This window comes from Homo sapiens, chromosome 2, assembly GCF_000001405.40.
Source record: "Homo sapiens chromosome 2, GRCh38.p14 Primary Assembly".
Taxonomy (NCBI): domain Eukaryota; kingdom Metazoa; phylum Chordata; class Mammalia; order Primates; family Hominidae; genus Homo; species Homo sapiens.
In genome coordinates, this window is record NC_000002.12 from 233,384,673 (window position 1) to 233,403,335 (window position 18,663).

Consider the following 18,663-nt stretch of genomic DNA (forward strand, 5'->3'; position numbering starts at 1 on the left):
TCTCTCCCCTGCCACCCCAGACTCTTGTCATCAGCTCCCCCCTTATGCGAGTTTCTGGAGTGTTCTGCCAGCCTCCACATTTCACCCCTCTTCTTTCCCACACTGTGGCCACAGTCAGCTTTCCAGAGTGTATTTCTGAGCCACCACCGGGCTCTGTCTGTAGCCCCAGGGAGCAGCTGCCGGCCTCTGCTTGCCCAGCCCCTCCTCCCTGGCCTGCTCAGGTACCTGTTGTCTCAGGCAGCTCCCTTATGGGGCATTGCTCACTGCCCTGTGCCCCACATCCCAGAGCACTCTGGTGTGTACACATCCGCCTTCCTCTGGTCTGAGCTCCTGGCCATGCAGCCCTCAGAGCCCAGTGTAGTGACCAGCATCTGGTGATGCAGCCACGTGTCAGAGAGGGGGCAACCTCACCCTGTGCTTGGGCCTGCTAGTGCCTTTCAGACAGAGTCCATTCTGGACTTTCCCTGCCTCCTGGTTTGAAGCCCTTTTCAAGGACATTCTCAGAGCTGTCTTACTGTTAAGCAAGGACCACTGGAGACTTGCGCTTCCCCCCAAGCAGCTGCACGTGGTAGTCTTGGACCTGTGGGCTGGGCATATGTCTGTCGGGTCAGTGGGTGGCCGTGGACCACACTCCAGCTCAGGCCCAGTGCTCTCGCCAACTTCCTCTGGGGAGCCCAGCACTGGGATTGGTGTCTTGCCTGTGTTTGCTGGTGGGCGCGTGTTCACTTTCCACCTGCTGCTCTCTGACTGGAGCTTAAGAGTTTTCTCGGTGCTGTGTGTGTTGCAAATTTGTCTCTGATTGGAATAAGGGTATCTTAGATGGCTTGAACGACAGTTGGCCCTTTTGTTTGTGCATAGAACCCAACAAAGTGACTCTAAGAGCCCGGTGGCCCGGCATGGCCCGAGCGAACTGTGCAGGGGCCTGGCCCTTTCACTCCTGACTCTGCTCTAGGGGGCAAGGAGAGGCCTCGTCAGCCTAGCAGCATTTCCTGTGGGTGCCTTTCACAGCTGCCACGTGCAAAATACAGCACATTATTTTGGGGTGTTATTTTCTTGACCACTTTTGGTTCATTGCTTTTGACTAAATGTTTAAAAATATTCTGCAGCATATCTATAGTACTCACAAGCAGCGAATCAGGAGAAGAAATGCAGTTTCTGAGAAGGCTTCAAAGAAATAATGGTCTTTATCTTTTCCCCAGCCTTTTCCGCTGAAACCCACCAGTCTTTTTCTGAGCACTCTTGTTATAAATAAAGCAGCAGCTCTCCTTGGGCAGCCCAAGATCGCAGACTCTCATCCGCCCTCAGAAAGATTGTGCGTGTGCGTGTGTGTGCGTGTGTGTAAGTATGTGGTGCAGTGAGTTGTGTTTTAATTTTGCTTTTCTTTTATGTATGAGATGTGTAGCAGGAGATGCAAGAAAAAATACTCCAGCATCTGTCCTTTAAAGATAACTTATAACTTTTCTGGGTTTTGGGTTGTTGGTTTTGTCTTTTTTTTTTTTCCCATTTAGGGAAGAGATGGAAGTGATTGCTTTCCCCACAAAGGTAAGGAAGATGAATGGGGGGCCAGGAGAGACGTCTTCACAGTGAGGCCTTTGAGGTCAACAGAGAAAGGGTCTCGTGGTATATGTTTCAGGCTTCCATGGATGGCATTGTTCTGTGCAGATGTATTTGAAATGAGTTTCATCCATGTGTACTTGGATGTGAAAAGGATGTTTGGAAACAAATACCATTTCCCAGTCCTTCACACTGAAGACTGGTTTATATCCTCGCTACCAGAATCGGGGTGGGACTTTCTGTCTGCCTTGGATCACCCTTGGTCTGTTTTGGACGGGACCTCAGATGCTAACTGTATGCTGGGGATCCCCGCTGTCTCTAGGGGAGGGGGTGGGGGTGGGGAGGTCACTTCTGGCAAACAAGCGTCATCAGAATGCTTGATCGTTGGATAATGTTGGGCTCCTCTCTTTTTCCTTCCTGGCACTCTTTAATTACTGGGGAGAGGGTGGGTGCCTTCTTCAGAAGTGTGAGGTGAATGTATAAGCCAAGAATGAGTCAGTAGATTCTTCAGCAGCTCTGCCCTGCGCTGATCCTCTAGAGTTGGAAAGGGCTGCTGTTGTGCCACTGGGTCAGTGCCAAAAGCAGAGTTCACCATGATTGGCACATGCTGGTGAGCAAGAAGCTCTTGGAAGTGGTCGTGAGTGCAGCCAGTTCCCCCCAACCCAGGAAGGGCACAGTGAGGATGGCTGGTTGCGGGATAAGGAGAAGAGACCCCTAGGCAGTTTGCATTGGCCTGTGCTGTCCGGGTGTGGTCCTGGTGTCCGTCCACATGTTGATGGCGTGTCGGGCTGGGGGCTTTCTGCAGCCTTCCCTGTTCCACTGTCTCTCCTGTTGTGAATGCCGGTGGATGGAACAGGCAGCGCAGTGTTCTGCGCTTGCATTCTGGCATAGGTGGGGGACATGAGCCTCCTGTGTCTTGCTTTTGCTGGTTTTATCTTAGGGAGTTTTAAGTGTTTGTGGATACTTAAGAACTTTGTACATGCACTGTTTGAAACATTTACGTAAAGTGCAGAGCTATATGAGATTAGGTAGTTAAGCAAAAGCTTCTCTGAACCAATGTGCTTGTCTTTGAACAGAATTTTTAGGAAGCCTCCCTCCATTTCCATGCTGAGGCTCCTTGTGGACTGGGCATTTCCGTGAGGTGGGATGTAACATAGTGTGCGAACGCCGAGAGCCAGGTTCTTGTCTTCATGCTTGTCGTTTATTCTTTTTGATTGTGTTAATGGCTCCGAGTACGTCAAAACATCTCATGACCAAGTAGTTAGTTACGCATTTGATGTTTTGGTGGCATGGGCTGCGTAAGGCGGGAGAGCAGCTCCGGGAGAAGTAGAGCCCCCTTCATTCTTGGCTTTAATTGAGCCAAGATGAGTGGACCGTATAATCCATTTCTGGATTCTCGTAAGAGAACGTCTTGTGTTGGGGTGAACTCATCAGCTTTTCGGGTTGAGAGGAGTTTTAGTGTCTGTGGCCGAGGCACTTTCCTCTCATGGTGTGTGCAGATGCACACGCCAGGCCTGTGAGTGGTGGGTTGGGCTGAGGGCGCGGGCCTGGAGCTTCTGAGCCCCAGAGCCGCTGACGTAGACAGCTTTGGCAGCAGCATCCTGAGAAATGGCAGGGGGCCAGAGAACACAGAGACAGGGCCAAGAATAGCTGAAAAATACCAAATGCTGAAGTTGGAGAATGCACTGGCCCCGCGTCCCAGTGTCCTCCCAGCTGCTGTGTACTGTGGCCCTGTGAGCCTCAGTGTCCCTTCTTCATGTCTGCCAGTGCGTCCAGGGCACACCCTGGGCCTCTTGACACCCCCACCCACACAGGCACACATTGCCCCTTAGAGGACAGGATTGGTGCAACCCCCCATGCCCCCGGCAGCGTGCTGGGCCTGTGCATAGGTCAAGGTCTGTTGAGAGTGTGAGAAATATTTTCTGTTAGAGACACGAATATGTTTCAGCCGCAACAGGCTGCGTTTCAGCCGGAAGAGTGAAAGGGCACCTTGAAAACGCAAGTTTATGAATATGTTTCTGTACTTTCAGACCATCATCAAAGAGGGGATGCTGACCAAACAGAACAATTCATTCCAGCGATCAAAAAGGAGATACTTTAAGCTTCGAGGGCGAACGCTTTACTATGCCAAAACGGCAAAGGTGAGGCCCCATGCAGGAAAGCACACGCGAGGACATCACAGGAGCCGTCCCAGGGGAGGAACTGGGGGTGCTGAGTCCTTGTGTGGGAAAAGCTTCAATTCTCAGATCTGTTATTGCCAGTGAGTTTTGTAACACTCCACGCTGTCAGGTTTTACTTGTCTCAAGGCATGTTTTATTTCTTATCAAAATTAATTTCTGTTCATTTTCCTTTTCTTTAATGTCATCGGTAATGGGGAAAAGGAAAAAAGGGTCACAGAGACAGCCGCGTTACAGCTGGATATCTCTCTCTCAGAAAGGCGGAGGGAATCACGGGGCTATGAATTTCATCTTCTTATTATTAAATAATTTTTATTCTTTAAGTATATTGAAGTTCTTTTTTTTTTTTTTTTTTTTTTTGAGAGGGAGTCTTGCTTTGTCGTCCAGGCTGGAGTGCAGTGGCGAGATCTCGGCTCATTACAACCTCCGCCTCCTGGGTTCAAGCAATTCTCCTGCCTCAGCCTCCCAAGTAGCTGGGATTACAGGTGCCTGCAACCACGCCTGGCTAAAATTTTTATATTTGAGTAGAGATGGGGTTTCACTATGTAGGTCAAGCTGGTCTCGAACTCCTGACCTCAAATGATCTGCCTGCCTCTGCCTCCCAAAGTGCTGGGATTACAGGCATGAGCCACCGTGCCCGGCCTAGAGATGGGGTTTCACCACATTGCCCAGGCTGGTCTTGAACTCCTGACCTCAAGTAATCTGCCCGCCTTGGCCTCCCAAGGTGCTGGGATTACAGGCATGAGCCACTGTGCCCAGCCAAAGTAGAAGGAGCTGAGCTTCTTGATGTGTGAACAGAAATGGGAAATTCTTTATTTTTAGGCTTTCTAGCAATTAACCTTGTTTCTGTGTGCCCTATTGTAGGTAGATTTAAAGCTAGAAGCACCAGGTGGGTGCTGCTGGAGGAGGAGCAGCCAGTGAAAGTCACAGATTACTGCCATGTTTAAGCGGATGTGGTGTTAGACATTCAGACACCAGTGTGTTGGCTGGGATTCTGAATACCTGTGTTTTTTATCAGGATTGGTGTCAGTACTAATATTTTGGTATTTAAGAAATCTGGAGTCTGAATAATTTACATTTTGAGACATATCCCTAGAAAGTTACTGCATTAAAATTTGAAATGGAACAAAGCAGCTTGTTTAGAAAGGGTTCTGACCACTTCCCTCAATTAAAAAAAAAAAAAAACACGACAAAATAACCTTTTACAGTTAGTTCTGGTGGTGCGGGGAGGGGAAAGGTTACTTAAAAGATTGAGTTTCTTTTCTGAGTTATTAGTTTGATTTTCTCCAGGGTTCCTCATAGAGCCATCGTAGAATAGAGGGGATGGTATAAGGGAAACAGGAGGCAGGGGCTGTGCCGGGGGACCCTGTAGGGAGTGGAGAGGGAGACGGGGGAGGTCCCCAGGCCTGACTCCCAGCCCTGCCCTGGAGCATCTTTCTCTCCAGGACCAGGATCCTTCTGCTCTACTCCCTTGTTTCCTTTCACGGCCAGACCCTTTCCATTTGGACCTGTCTCTCTTCTCCAGAAGAATTTGTTTTAGCCAGGACCTTCCCCCTCCATGTGCTCGCTGGAGGAACAAGCCAGGAGGACACGGAATCCTCAGTCCAGACCCCGGCCTTCCCTCAGCTAAAACACTGTGTGAGAACATACTTCACATGTAAAAGTGAATACTGGTATTGACAGTAGTAAATACAGAAATACCAGCATTGGGTTGTTTGCTTTGGTTCTCTCTCTTTCTTCCTTCACTAATGCAATGACAATGTTTGTAGATTTTTTTAAAAAAATCATGGCACTATACCTGTGAGCCCGAGCTTTTGGTTAGAAGCAGGTGGGTGGGTTAATTTGGATTGGCTTATTGATTGGATGCTACAGTTTCAAGGTACTGGGGCTTCTGTGGGTGCTTGTTAGGGATCATTGGGGTGTGGTGGGCAGCGCTGGCTAGTGCTTAGGGATGTACCTGTCTTTATGTGCCTTAGTCCCTGTGTTTGTCTCTTTCTAGTCAATCATATTTGATGAGGTGGATCTGACAGATGCCAGCGTAGCTGAATCCAGTACCAAAAACGTCAACAACAGTTTTACGGTAAGATTCCTCAGTCATGCCTTTCTTGATTCTTCACTGAAGTTGGCTTTCCTTTTTGATCTGAACATGTGTCCAAGCAGTTCAAACGTTTTCATTCTTTTCTTACTGATTGGAATGATTGCTGGTAAAATTTGAATTTAATGCTGAAAGTAATACTGTGGTTGGAGAATAACCAAGAATTTGGCATGCATAAGCACAAAAGGACAATAGGGACCAAATGAAAAATTTTTATATGTGTTTTGGTTCACGTCTGTTTTGTTTTTTTTGAGACGGAGTTTGGCTCTTGTTGCCCAGGCTGGAGTGCAATGGCGTGATCTCCAGCTCACAGCAACTTCCGCCTCCCGAGTTCAAGCGATTCTCCTGCCTCAGCCTCCCGAGTAGCTGGGATTACAGGCATGTGCCACCACACCTGGCTAATTTTGTATTTTTAGTAGAGACAGGGTTTCTCCGTGTTGGTCAGGGTGGTCTCGAACTCCCAACCTCAGGTGATCCACCCTCCTTGGCCTCCCAAAATCCTGGGATTACAGGTGTGAGCCACCACGCTTTGCTGGTTCACATCTTACTACCTCTGTACAGAGTTTTGTTTTTTGTGATTAATGTAGAAAATTTGGAAAATGCAGACAAGTATGTTAAAGCAATTAAAAAGCAGCCATAACAGCCACCTCAAAAAACATTGAATGTTAATATTTTGGTGTATTTCTTTTTTTTTTCCTTTTTTATGTTTAAACTTTCTTCCTTCCAAATTTATAAAAGTTATGTAGGACTTTCTGCAAAAGTTCTAAATGCACAGAATCATGTGATCTCACCACTTGGAAGTGGCCAGCTGCTTACTCTACAGTGTTTATCTTTATTTCTGTATATTTATGTCTTTACCTACATGTACCCATGAGATCATGCTGAACCTTTTGGTTTACACCTGTGTTTTTTTCCCCCCCCAGGACAATTTATAGTAGAGAGTTGCTCATGTCAGCTGATCTAAATGTTCATGATATTATTTAATGGCTATAGTAGCATTTTCTTGTAGGATTTTATAATTTAGGCTTTACGGGCTGACTTTAGCGCCTGCCTGTGTAAGGTTTGACTCTAATAACAGCACTAGAACTTTTAAAGCTGTTTTTCTTTATGTTATTAGGCCATCCCATGTAGACAAAAAGTGTGTACCCTAATTAAAAAAATTATTCTTTTATAATTCAGTCAAGGTGAGTAATTTTCCTCAAGTTTAGGATCTGATATTTTGGGTTAGTGCTAGTTTCAGGTGCTTTCAAGTTTTGTTTTATTTTATTTATTGATGGATTCATTGTTGATGTTGCCAATACAAATGGGATTTTCCTTTCTCTGTCTAAACCTCTGCTTATTTTGTGTTGATTAACTGCTCTTATTTTACTTGGAGTATTTGTAGTTTTCTCTATTAATTTATTTTTACCAGCTGGGAAGAGACATTTTTAACCACATAAATAGATTTTTCTTTGATTCGTGGTTTTTAGAGTCTTTAATAGGAGTAGGTGTTGAATTTCTTTGGAGTGTTCTGAGCATCAGTTGATTAATTAATGAATTTTTTTGAGATGTTGTCTCCCTTTGTCACCCAGGCTGAAGTGCGGTGGTGTGATCTCGGCTCACTGCAACCTCCGTCTCCCAGGTTCAAGGGATCCTCATGCCTCAGCCTCCCTAGTAGCTGGGATTATAGTCGTGCACCGTTATGCCCAGATAATCTTCGTAATTTTAGTAGAGATGGGGTTTCACCATATTGGCCAGGCTGGTCTCAAACTCCTGGCCTGGAGTGATCTACCCGCCTGAACCTTCCAAAGTACTGGGATTACAGGCATGAGCCACTGTGCCTGGCCCTGGGCATTAATTTAGATGTTCATTTTGGTTTCAGTTATTTGCATATTTCCTAATAAAAAAATTATTCTTGGTAATGTTGAATTTTACTCCTTTATCTTGCAATTTAGAATTTTCCCACTGGTATGTATGCATTTGTTTTGGGTGAGAATGTAGCCTTATTGCAGTTTTAAACAATTGTTTTTTCTGTTTTTAATTTTAATGGATACATAATAGTTGGACATACTGTGTTTTGATTTCAGAGTTAAACCAACCCCATAAAATTCATTTAGTAACTTTCTATGAGTTTATGTTTTCTGCAACATTTTATGTAGCTTTGGGATTGGTTGTTTCTTAAGTTCGAGAGAATTTATTTTAAATTATTTGTCAAGAAGACTTTTTAGGGAGATAAGGCTGTAATAGAAATAAATCCTAAAATATTTATTTCTTGCATTTTGATCATTTTTTGAACCTTTTCACTTTTTGAGTCCACATCTGTAATTTACTTTCCCACAAATTTCACACCTTCAAAGTTAGTAGCGTGTACTGTTGTGTAGTTTAAACACCTGTGTCTCTGGTTGAATCTCCTTTGCATTTCTAATTTTATTAGTTTAGTTTGCTTTTCTTGTCAGATTTCGTAAACTCTAGCATTTTTGTTTTCTTTGTTTTTAAAGAGAACTAGTTCTTAGATTATTGAACAATTCTCCTTTTCTGTTTCCTTTTTTATTTTTTTGAGACGGAATCTTGCTCTGTTGCCCAGGCTGGAAGGCTGGAGTGCAATGACGTGATCTTGGCTCACTGCAACCTCCACCTCCTGTGTTCAAGCGATTCTTCTGCCTCAGCCTCCTGAGTAGCTGGGATTGCAGGCACCTGCCACCACGCCCAGCTAATGTTTTTATATTTTCAGTTAGAGACGGGGTTTCGCCATGTTGGCCAGGCTGTTCTCAAACTCCTGACCTTGAGTGATCTGCCTGCCTCAGCTTCCCAAAGTGCTGGGATTACAGGTGTGAGCCACCACGCCTGGCCTGTTTCCTTTTTTTTTTTTTTTTTTTTGAGACAGGGTCTTGCTCTGTTGCCCAGGCTGCAGTATAGTGCTGTGATCTCGGCTCATGGCAACCTCTTCTTCCTGGGTTAAAGTGATTCTCCTGCTTCAGCCTCCTGAGTAGCTGGGATTACAGGTGTGTCCCACCACGCCTGGCTGATTTTTGTATTTTTAGTTAGAGATGGGTTTTCGCCATGTTGTCTAGGCTGGTCTTGACCTCCTGACCTCAAGTGATCCTCCTGCCTCAGCCTTCCAAAGTGCTGGGATTACAGGTGTAAGGCACCATGCTGGGCCCTACTTTCCTGTTTTCTAATTCAGTGTCTGTATTTATGTGTATTGGTTTTTTTTTTTTTTTTTTTAGATGGAGTCTTGCTCCGTTGCCCAGGGGGGAGTGTAGTGGTGTGGTCTCGGCTCTCTGCAGCCTCCGCCTCCTGGGTTCCAGTGATTCTCCTGCCTCAGCCTTGGGTAGCTGGGATTACAGACACATGCCACCATGCCCAGCTAATTTTTTTATTTTTAGTGGAGACAGGGTTTCACCGTGTTGGCTAGGCTGGTCTCGAACTCCTGACCTCAGTGCCCACCTTGGCCACCCAAAATGCTGGGATTACAGGTGTGAGCCACCTTGCCCGGCTGTGTATTAGTTTTTATCTGTTGTAACTTACGAAATATGTTGTTCAAGTCCTCTTATGATCTTGTTTTTTATCGCTTGAGCTTCCATAGGCTGTTAATGAGGAGTTAGAATCTCTTTCAGGCCAGTTACGTTTAACACTTTGTTCATGTATTTCTAACAGTTTTCACCTTCTCCATTTTGAAGCTTTGTTAAGCGTGTAAATATTTAAAAAGATAATACCTTCAATATTGAGTAATCATTTGTTAATAAAGATTAATAAAGTAGTAGCTTTTTTTTTCTTCTTTCCTAGACAAGGTCTTGCTCTATCACCTGGGTTGGAGTGAAGTGGCACAATTATGACTCACTGCAGCCTTAAACTCCTGGGCTCCAGTGATCCTCCTGCCTCAGCCTCCCAGTTAGCTGGGACTACAGGTGCTTGATACCATGCCTGGCTAATTTTTACATTTTTTTGTAGAAGCAAGGTCTCGCTATGTTGCTCAGGCTGGTCTCAAACTCCTGGCATCAAGTGATCCTCCTGCCTTGGCCTCCCAAAGTGCTGGGATTAAAGAAGATCTTTTTCGCAATGAGTAGTTTGTGTCATTAACTGTTCTCTCATGTATATTAGTATTTCTAAGTCTTCTTTTCTTTGTTCAGAATTTACTTGATATACATACCCCCCACCCTTTTCCATCCTAACTTTTATCTTTAGTTTTCCTTATTATTTTGAATTTAATTCCCTTTTTTTTTTTTTTTTTTTTTTTTTTTTTTTTTAGAGATAGGCTCTTGCTGTGTTGCTCAGGCTGGAATGCGGTGGTACAGTGTTAGCTCACTGCAGCCTCAAACTCCTGGTCTCAAGAGATCTTCCTGCCTCACCCTCCCCAGTAGCTGGAACCACAGGCATTGTCACCACACCCAGCTAATTTTTTATTTTTTGTAGAGATGGGGTCTAACTATGTTGCCTTGGCTGGTCTCTAACTTCTGGCCCCAAGTGATCTGTCTTGGTGTCCTAAAGTGTTGGTATTACAGGCATGAGCCGATGTGCCTTGCCTAGATTTAATTCTTGTAAACAGTATGTTGTTAGAATCTGTCTTATTTTAGTCAGAAACCCTTTGCCTTGTAAATATTGTGCTTCAGCCATTTTCTGCTGTCAGGATTCTTGCATATCTGATGCCTGTGTTTTGTGGCTGAATGTATTGTGCTTTCTTGTTTGTTTGTTTGTTTATTTATTTATTTTTGAGACAAGGTCTTGCTCTGTCACCCAGGCTGGAGTACAGTGGTGCAGTCATGGCTCACTGCAGCTTCGACCTCCTAGGCTCAAGTAATCTTCCCACTTCAGCCTTCTGGGTAGCTGGGACTCCAGGCACATGTGACCATACCCAGATAATTTTTGTTTTTTTGTAGAGAAGGAGTTTCACCATGTCACCTAGGCTATTCTTGAACTTTGGGGTGCAAGTAGTCCACCCACCTTGGCCTTCTGAAGTGCTGAGGTTACAGGCATGAGCCACCACACCCAGCCATGCTTTCTTATTTTAATGGTCTCTTGGTACCTCTCTTCTACTTCCCTTCTGTGTTGTCTCTTAAACATTTATAGTTCACAGATTTTCTTTTTCCTTTCTTTTCTTTTCTTTTTTCTCCTCCCCTCCCCTCCTCTCCTTTCCCCTCCCCTCCCCGCTTCTCTCTTTTTCTATCTTCCTTTCTTTCCTTTTTCCTTTTTTTTTTTTAATTTAAATTTAAGAGACAGGTCTTACTCTGTCGCCCGGGCTGGAGTGCAGTGGCATGATCACCATTTACCGCAGCCTTGAAATATCAGGCTCAAGCGATCCACCGGCCTCAGCCTCCCAAAATGTTCAGATTACAGGCATGAGCCACCATGCCTGGCCAAGTTCACAAATTTTATTATGCTAGACCTGTTTGTAGCCAGCCCATATGGTGACATCCTTTTTTTGGTCAAGCTTTGTGTATTACTGAGGGTTTAGTCACAGAGAACATGCTACTCAATGCTTTGTTTCACTAGCTCTTATTCGATTCATACCAAACCATGAAAATGAAAAAGGACTGAAGAACATGGAAGAAAAATAATGCAAAATGGTCTGTTTTCCAGAAAGGAATCAAATACGATATTTTATTAGTGAGCTCCGAGAACATAGTATTTCCCAATGTTGGTGTTGCAGGGGGTTGTCGAGAGCAGGCTCGATGCTGTTGCTGTCTTTGAAGGCATTTCTGCTCGGAGACTCAGAGTTGCCTTCTCTCTTGTGCAATGCGGGTTTGCTAACTGGTTGGTCTGGGATAGAGCAAGCCTGATTTCTTCCTCACTCCAGTTTGGGCTTTCCAGCTTTGAAAAACTGTTTTTTCCTTCTTTTCTCTTACACTTGAAAAAACGAATTCTGGTTCATGTGCTTTGTCTTGTTCTTTGGGAATTTGGCTCGTTTATTTAGTCATTGTTTTGGCAAGCATTTTTTTTGGGGTCTACCGTGGGCCACACACCATGCTGAGTGCGGTGGGTAGAAATGGAGAGGAGCCACTCTGCATCAAGCTTATATTCTCGTGGGAGATCAGATAAGCACATACATAGAACCTTAGTTACAGGCTGAGACAAGCTCCGATGGAAGAGCAGTACATGGTGCCTGATATGTGGAAGACCCCACCTGGCCTTGGGGAGGGGCTGGGCAGTCTTCTCAGAGGAAGTGAGGTCTCATAGCTGAGACATGAAGAATGATAGTGGTAAATCCACTGAGGGAAGCATGAGCCTGAGAGGGTATGTGTGTCTGTGTGTTGGTGTGTGTCTGTGTGTTTCTTTGTGTGTGTCTGTGTGTTTCTTGTGCAAATAGGCACCTCGGGGATGGGGCAGGTGGAGGGACCAGCAGTGCGAAGACCTTGGGATGGGGACACCACGTGGAGTGTGCAAAGTGGTGGAAGGGCCAGGGTGGCTGATGGAGGCCAGAGCAAGAGGACACCAGAGGGGACCAGCGTGGCTGGGGGGGGCCAGAGCGAGAGGACACCAGAGGGGACCAGGGTGGCTGGGGGGGGCAGAGCGAGAGGACTCCAGAGGGGACCAGGGTGGCTGGGGGGGGGGGCGCCAGAGTGAGAGGACTCCAGAGGGGACCAGGGTGGCTGGCAGAGGCCAGAGTGAGAGGACACCAGAGGGGAGCAGGGTGGCTGGCAGAGGCCAGAGTGAGAGGACACCAGAGGGGACCAGGGTGGCTGCGGGGGGGGCCAGAGTGAGAGGACTCCAGAGGGGACCAGGGTGGCTGGGGGGGGGGGGGTGCCAGAGTGAGAGGACTCCAGAGGGGACCAGGGTGGCTGGCAGAGGCCAGAGTGAGAGGACTCCAGAGGGGACCAGGGTGGCTGGGGGGGGGGCCAGAGCGAGAGGACACCAGAGGGGACCAGGGTGGCTGAGGGGGGCAGCAGAGTGAGAGGACTCCAGAGGGGACCAGGGTGGCTGGCAGAGGCCAGAGTGAGAGGACTCCAGAGGGGACCAGGGTGGCTGGCAGAGGCCAGAGTGAGAGGACACCAGAGGGGAGCAGGGTGGCTGGCGGGGGGCCAGAGCGAGGCGAGAGGACACCAGAGGGGACCAGGGTGGCTGGGGGGGGGGGGCAGAGTGAGAGGACACCAGAGGGGACCAGAGTGGCTGGCAGAGGCCAGAGTGAGAGGACTCCAGAGGGGACCAGGGCAGAGCTTGGGACTTACTCCTCAGGACTTGGGCTGCTGTTGAATAGTTTTATTTGGTGAAATTCTCAGATTTGCAGGTGTCAGAAAGTTCTACTCTGGCTGTAGGGTGGAGGGTGAACTGGAAGGGGAGGGAGGTTTGTAGGATTGTTAGGAGAGAGTGGAGTGGAGAGTGCGGAGGTGTCTAGGGGGCAGTGGGCAGGCTAGTGATCAGGTCAGAAGGGGGTGGAGTAGATGAAGGTGTCAGGGCTTCTGCTGAGTACAGCAGCAGGCTGGTTAAGTGAGCTCAGGAGTCCAGAAGAGGGGCTGTGGGGTGGTGGGGGAGGCTTCTTTATCTTCCATGTCTGTCACATTCTTTAGCCTTATTTTATTTAATTTGTTGGTTTTTTTCCTAGTTCTAGTTATCAAAGTTTTTATATTGTTTGTTACTACATTTACTTGCAACCTCCCCTCCCAGCTCCCACCCCCCACCCCCGATTTTGGCATACTTTGTATTTATCCTGGCTTATTCTTGTTTGAAAGGTAAAATTTTTTTTTTTTTGAGATGGAGTCTCGCTCTGTTGCCCAGGCTGGAGTGCAGTGGTGCGATCTTGGCTTACTGCAAGCTCCGCCTCCCGGGTTCACGCCATTCTCCTGCCTCAGCCTCCTGAGTGGCTGGGAGTACAGGTGCCGCCACCACGCCCGACTAATTTTTTTTTTGTATTTTTAGTAGAGACGGGGTTTCACAGCGTTAGCCAGGATGGTCTCGATCTCCTGACCTCGTGATCCGCCGGCCTCAGCCTCCCAAAGTGCTGGGATTAAAGGTGTGAGCCACCGCGCCCGGCCAATAGGTAAAATATTTTTTAAAAGTTTTCTGTTTAACAAAGTCATTCCCTCCAGGGAAAGATTTTCCTTTGATCTTCTCCATTTTCTCTTGGGTTTTCACATGTTTTCATTGACTTAGGATTTCTCCCCTGATTTATTAAACTTTGTGTTATAGTAATTTTAGTTGTTGTCTTCAAGTCCTACGCTTGTTTGCTTTTTTTGAGACAGTCTCACTGTGTCGCCCAGGCTGGAGTGCAGTGATGCGATCTCAGCTCACTGCAACTTCCACCTTCTGGGTTCAAGTGATTCTTGTGCCTCAGCCTTCCGAGTAGCTGGGATTACAGGCTCCCGCCACCACACCCGGCTAATTTTTGTATTTTTAGTAGAGATGGGTTTCACCATGTTGGCCAGGCTGGTCTTGAACTCCTGAGCTCAAGTGATCTGCCCGCTTCAGCCTCCCAAAGTGCTAGGATTACAGGTGTGAGCCACCATGCCCAGTTTTATCATCTTCCCTTAGCAGCCTAGAGCTGTGGAACACTACAAGACTGTAGGGTCCATTCGAGTTTTATGCTTTTATTTACTTATTTCTCCAAGTCAGTGTTTTTCATCATTTTTAAACCCATGTTCTCTTTTGATGAAGGATTAATTTTTATTGCCTCATTTAGTTTTTGAAATTTCAAAATGCAGCAAAAAGGAATGAAAGCAGTGGGCTTTATTCTCACCCTCCCTGACCCTCCTGGAGAGTCATTCCTACCTGTATTCCATTTGGTCTTATTTATTTATAATATATGCTACATGAGAGCAAGGATTTTTGTCTGTTTTGTTCATGGCTTTACACCAAGTTCCCAGCACACAGTAGGTGCACATAACTCTTTGTTGAAGAGTGGCTTGGTCACCTCCAGTTCCAGAATGATTTGGGCCCTGCCCCTCATTGTTCGGCTCTGCAGGAAGCTTCCTGGGACCAGATGCTGGGCCTGGCTGCAAGATCAGGTCTTCCTTCCTGCAGGGCACAGTCCATGTGCATCCCAGCAGCCACGGCAGGGCTGGGGAGGAACTGATGTGGGTTGCTTCTCTGGGCAGGGCATGGGGGTTCCCTGCCTGTGGTGGGGGAAGGGGGTACGTGGCTGTGGGGTGGAAGGGATGTTTCTTGCCAGAGGGAGTGGGCGTGGGAGGTGCGCTGGGTGAGCAGCCTCTGAGGCAGGAAGTGCTTTCCAGGCTGGGGTGGGTTTGGGCTTTTTTGTCAGAGCTGTGGGAAGCCATTAAGATTTTAAAGCAGGGTGGTAAAGTTGGGTTTTTGTTAGAAGAGTCTGTCTGCTGCTGGAGGCGAGATCTGCAGGGAAGAGTTGGCTAGGTGGATGAGAAGGGGTGCAGAGGGGCCTTTCCCCCAACATGAGGATGTGGACAGCCTGGATGTGCTTATGGAGGTGAGAGATGGGGCCTGAGGAGAGCCATGCACTGCAGGCGGGCAGGGTCCATGCTTCTGCTGTTGTTGGTACTTTTATTTGTTTTGGGTGACTCTGAGAATTAAATATTAATAACAGTGTTGAAGGAACATACTGTATCATTGGCCATGATGCATGCCTCCTAGAAAGCAGCGCTGTACACAGTGACATGATCACAGCACCCCTGCAGGACTCCAGATGCACAGTTTCTTCTCCTCACTGAGAGTGTTTTGGTATTGCTGGCCTTTCCAGTTCTAGAAATGTCCCCTTTGAGACTGACTTCATGGTGGCTGGTGTCAGAGTCTGTGTCCCTTGTGAAGGAGGCAGAATCAGAGCTAAATTCAATTTAGCAAAGATTTTCTAGACTAAGTAGGAAGAGGGCTCATCACCCGAAGTGGGCGTGGGTGCTCCCCATAGCCAGGCTTTGTCTACAGGACAGCGGGAGGCAGTCAAGGCCTGAGCCCTGGCCAGGTCCCTCGGAGGGCAGGGAGCCTGGAGCTAGGAGAGAGTGGTGATGCAGGGTGGCCATTTCCACTCCCACAGGGCCCTTTGCCCTTCACACCCAGTGCCCACTGCCCTGTCTGAGACGCCTCATGCTGTCCTGGCCTGGGCCTCCCTGGCCACCTGCTGGCATGGCCTCTCCCATTTGTGGGGGTGCCACTTCCTAACTGCCTCTCCTCTCACGGCTCTCCTTCCGTGCCCCCTACCTTGGGCAGGATGTGGGTGGGATATAGTTTGAGTCCATCTCGGGTGCTGGTTTTATGAAGCACACATTTGACTCCCTCAGTGGGTGGTGGAGTGTGCAGACCTGAGCTCCCTGAGCTCTCTCGGGTAGCCCTGGTCACCTCTCATGGGCAGGGCTGCTTGCACAGCTGGAGGGCAAGGCCTGAGCTGCTGTTCCCGGAGAGCTAGAGCTCGACAGGCCTGGACTGCCCAGGAGGCCCGTGGAAAGGCTGATCCTTCCTCAGTTGTTGCAGCTGAGTGTGTGTGGCCTCCTGATGCTACATGTTCAGTTGCCTTTTACTTCCTTTATGAGGGAAGTTTTATGCTACGCGGTATTTCCAAAGTGTGAGCTCCCCAGAGGAATCAGGGACTCTGTCTTTGAATGTCCAGGGTCTGTGTATCCTCTACCAGATAGAAGACCCAAGGCAGCAGGACTGGGCTCCTTCTCTTCTTTTGATCTCTGAAAGTACGGGACTCTGCAAGGTAACTTCATTCTTTAAGGCAAGCCAGAGTGTGAATCCTAGCTCAGCTTCTTCCAAGCAGATGACTGGGGGCGAGTCACAGGACAGCTCGAAGCCTCCATTTTCTCATCTGAGAAATGGGGCTAGTAACCTGCCTTGTGGGGTGGTTTGGTTGTAAGGACTAAATGAGTTAATGAATGTAGGCATGATATATGTGTTTGTGCCTATTAACACTGTGATTATAGGCACTTACTGATTATTCAGTGAATGAACTGAAAGCAATAAACCAAATTCATTTATTATATCATTTGGTATGTGGAAAATTTTCTTCTAGTTTGGTGTACTTAACGTTTCATACTTTCTCTGTTTACTGAATAATAACTTTAATTGAACAAAATCACTACTAATTAGTCCAGATTTCACTGGGCTTCAGTTAGTCTGGCTGTATTATTACTACTCCCTGGGTCATGGCAACTGTAGCTGAGGTGAACCTTAGAGAGGAAAGACAAGTTTTACTGGAATATGCCTGAAATACAGAGCCATTTAGAAGGGTCATATTCTGCCCATTGTTAAAAGCGCTGTGAACTAAGGCTGGGCATGGTGGCTAACACCTGTAATCCCAGTGCTTTGGGAAGCTGAGGCGGTGGTTCAACTGAGGACAGGAATTCAAGACCAGCCTGACCAACATGATGAAACCCCGTCTCTACTAAAAATATAAAAATTAGACAGACATGGTGGCGGGCGCCTGTAATCCCAGCTACTCAGGAGGCTGAGGCACAAGAATCACTTGAACCCGGGAGGCAGAGGTTGCAGTGAGCTGAGATCGCATCATTTCATTCCAGCCTGGGCGACAGAGTGAGACTCTGTCTCAAAAAAAAAAAAAAAAAAAAAAAAAAAAGCAAGCACTATAAACCATCGAGGGGCCCCTCGTTTCTTACCTAATGAAGTTCAGGGTCTGGTCCTCATGTGCCCTCCCAGCCTGGCCTCTCCCCAGCCAAGCCCAGTGCTTCTTAGGGAGCTCCCTGTGTGTACGGGTCACCTGCTGGCCCTGGTCTCTGGGGGTCTGTTTCCCCAAATTCTCCCCACCGACCCTGTCCGTTTCCTCCTCAGGGAAGCCTTCCTGTTTACATGGTGCTCAGGAAACTGCCATATGCTTCTGTGGGACTGTGGTTCTCAAACTTGGCCATGCCCGAGCACCTTTTGGAACTTTCCCCAGAAGTTTGCAAGTGGGTGCTTTTTCAAAGCTTTCCAAAATCTTAGGGTACAACCACTTTGGGACCCCCTTCTTGAGGGTACTTTGTGTCACTCATGTGATGCTACATTAGCACAAGCTCCCTAGTAATGTGTACTTGGCCACACCTTGAGCTCAAGGCCATGGAGTGTCTTGGCAGCTTAGGGTCCCCAGTGCTCTGCCCTTTGGGGTGACTATGTGTATGAATATGAGCTGGAAGAAGCAGGTTCTGTTGCTTCTTTTTGTTAGCACAACAGAGAGAATGTTGACTCACCCCTTCCTTGGCAAGCCCCGCTGAAGAGGTGCTCACTATTGTGGACCCCTCTGTGGGCCAGGCTCCCCCTTTTACAATTTCCCAGCTCATGTCCGGCCGGCAGCTTGGGGACAAGGTTAGCCCCTGTGCTCTGTGTGTGCGCTTTTAGCGAGTTTGCCAGCTGGAAAACTTGTTTATCCCAGAGAATGGAGGAGTCATTTGACAAGTAAGGCATTACCCTGGCCACCTAATTTCAAATCAGTTGGAAAAGATGCAAGTTTTAGAACTTGTTATTCCTTATTTGAACTATCCTGTATCACGGCAAACTGTCTACTGAGTGCCTGAGGGTGTACGGGGTAGGTAAGTGTGTTCCCTACTCTGGGAGACTTCTAACAGTATATAAAGAAGTAGTTCTAGTGCCCTGTCATAAGTAGAGTGGAAGAAGGTACAAAGTACAGTTAGAGTGGTGGTGGTTAGCCTTGGGAGGGGAGGTAAGCTTCTCTGAGGAGCGGCATGAGAGCTGGATGTGGGGACGGGTCCCTTTTGCAGAGAGGACTGGGGAAGAGTCAGGGAGTCGGGGACATCCAGGAAATAGGTGGTAGGAGTGTCTGTTCATGTGACACACTAGCAGTGCCTGCTTTCCAGGTACAAGTCCTCCTGTATGGATTCATTTGTTAACTTAGTTCTTAAAGTGTTTGAATCTTAGTAATGATTTTAAAGGAAATTTAAAATAGGGAGAAAATGGGCTGGGTGTGATGGCTCACACCCGTAATCCCAGCACTTTGGGAGGCCGAGGCAGGCG

General features: G+C 47.4%; 1 protein-coding gene across 13 annotated transcripts in view, besides 1 other annotated feature; it reads left to right on the forward strand.

The window, feature by feature from the left end:
• Window positions 1-18,663, forward strand: part of DGKD (diacylglycerol kinase delta) — a 117,605-nt gene that overhangs the window by 30,179 nt on the left and 68,763 nt on the right. For 9 of the 13 annotated variants that reach the window (NM_152879.3, XM_047446097.1, XM_017005138.3 and 6 more), the window contains exons 2-3: window positions 3,585-3,695; window positions 5,731-5,811. In NM_152879.3, the coding sequence (NP_690618.2) occupies window positions 3,585-3,695; window positions 5,731-5,811 (192 nt within the window). Of the gene's footprint in view, window positions 1-1,272; window positions 1,543-3,481; window positions 3,696-5,262; window positions 5,370-5,730; window positions 5,812-18,663 lie in introns of those variants that run through there. The other 4 variants (XM_011512030.3, XM_011512032.4, NM_003648.3 and 1 more) reach the window with 4 other exon arrangements.
• Window positions 14,328-14,833: an enhancer, noted in NCBI's record as "H3K27ac-H3K4me1 hESC enhancer chr2:234307646-234308151 (GRCh37/hg19 assembly coordinates)". NCBI's record gives its function as "activates a minimal SCP1, AML or CMV promoter by ChIP-STARR-seq in primed H9 embryonic stem cells {active_cell/tissue: H9 hESC(primed)}" and the evidence as "EXISTENCE:reporter gene assay evidence [ECO:0000049][PMID:30033119]".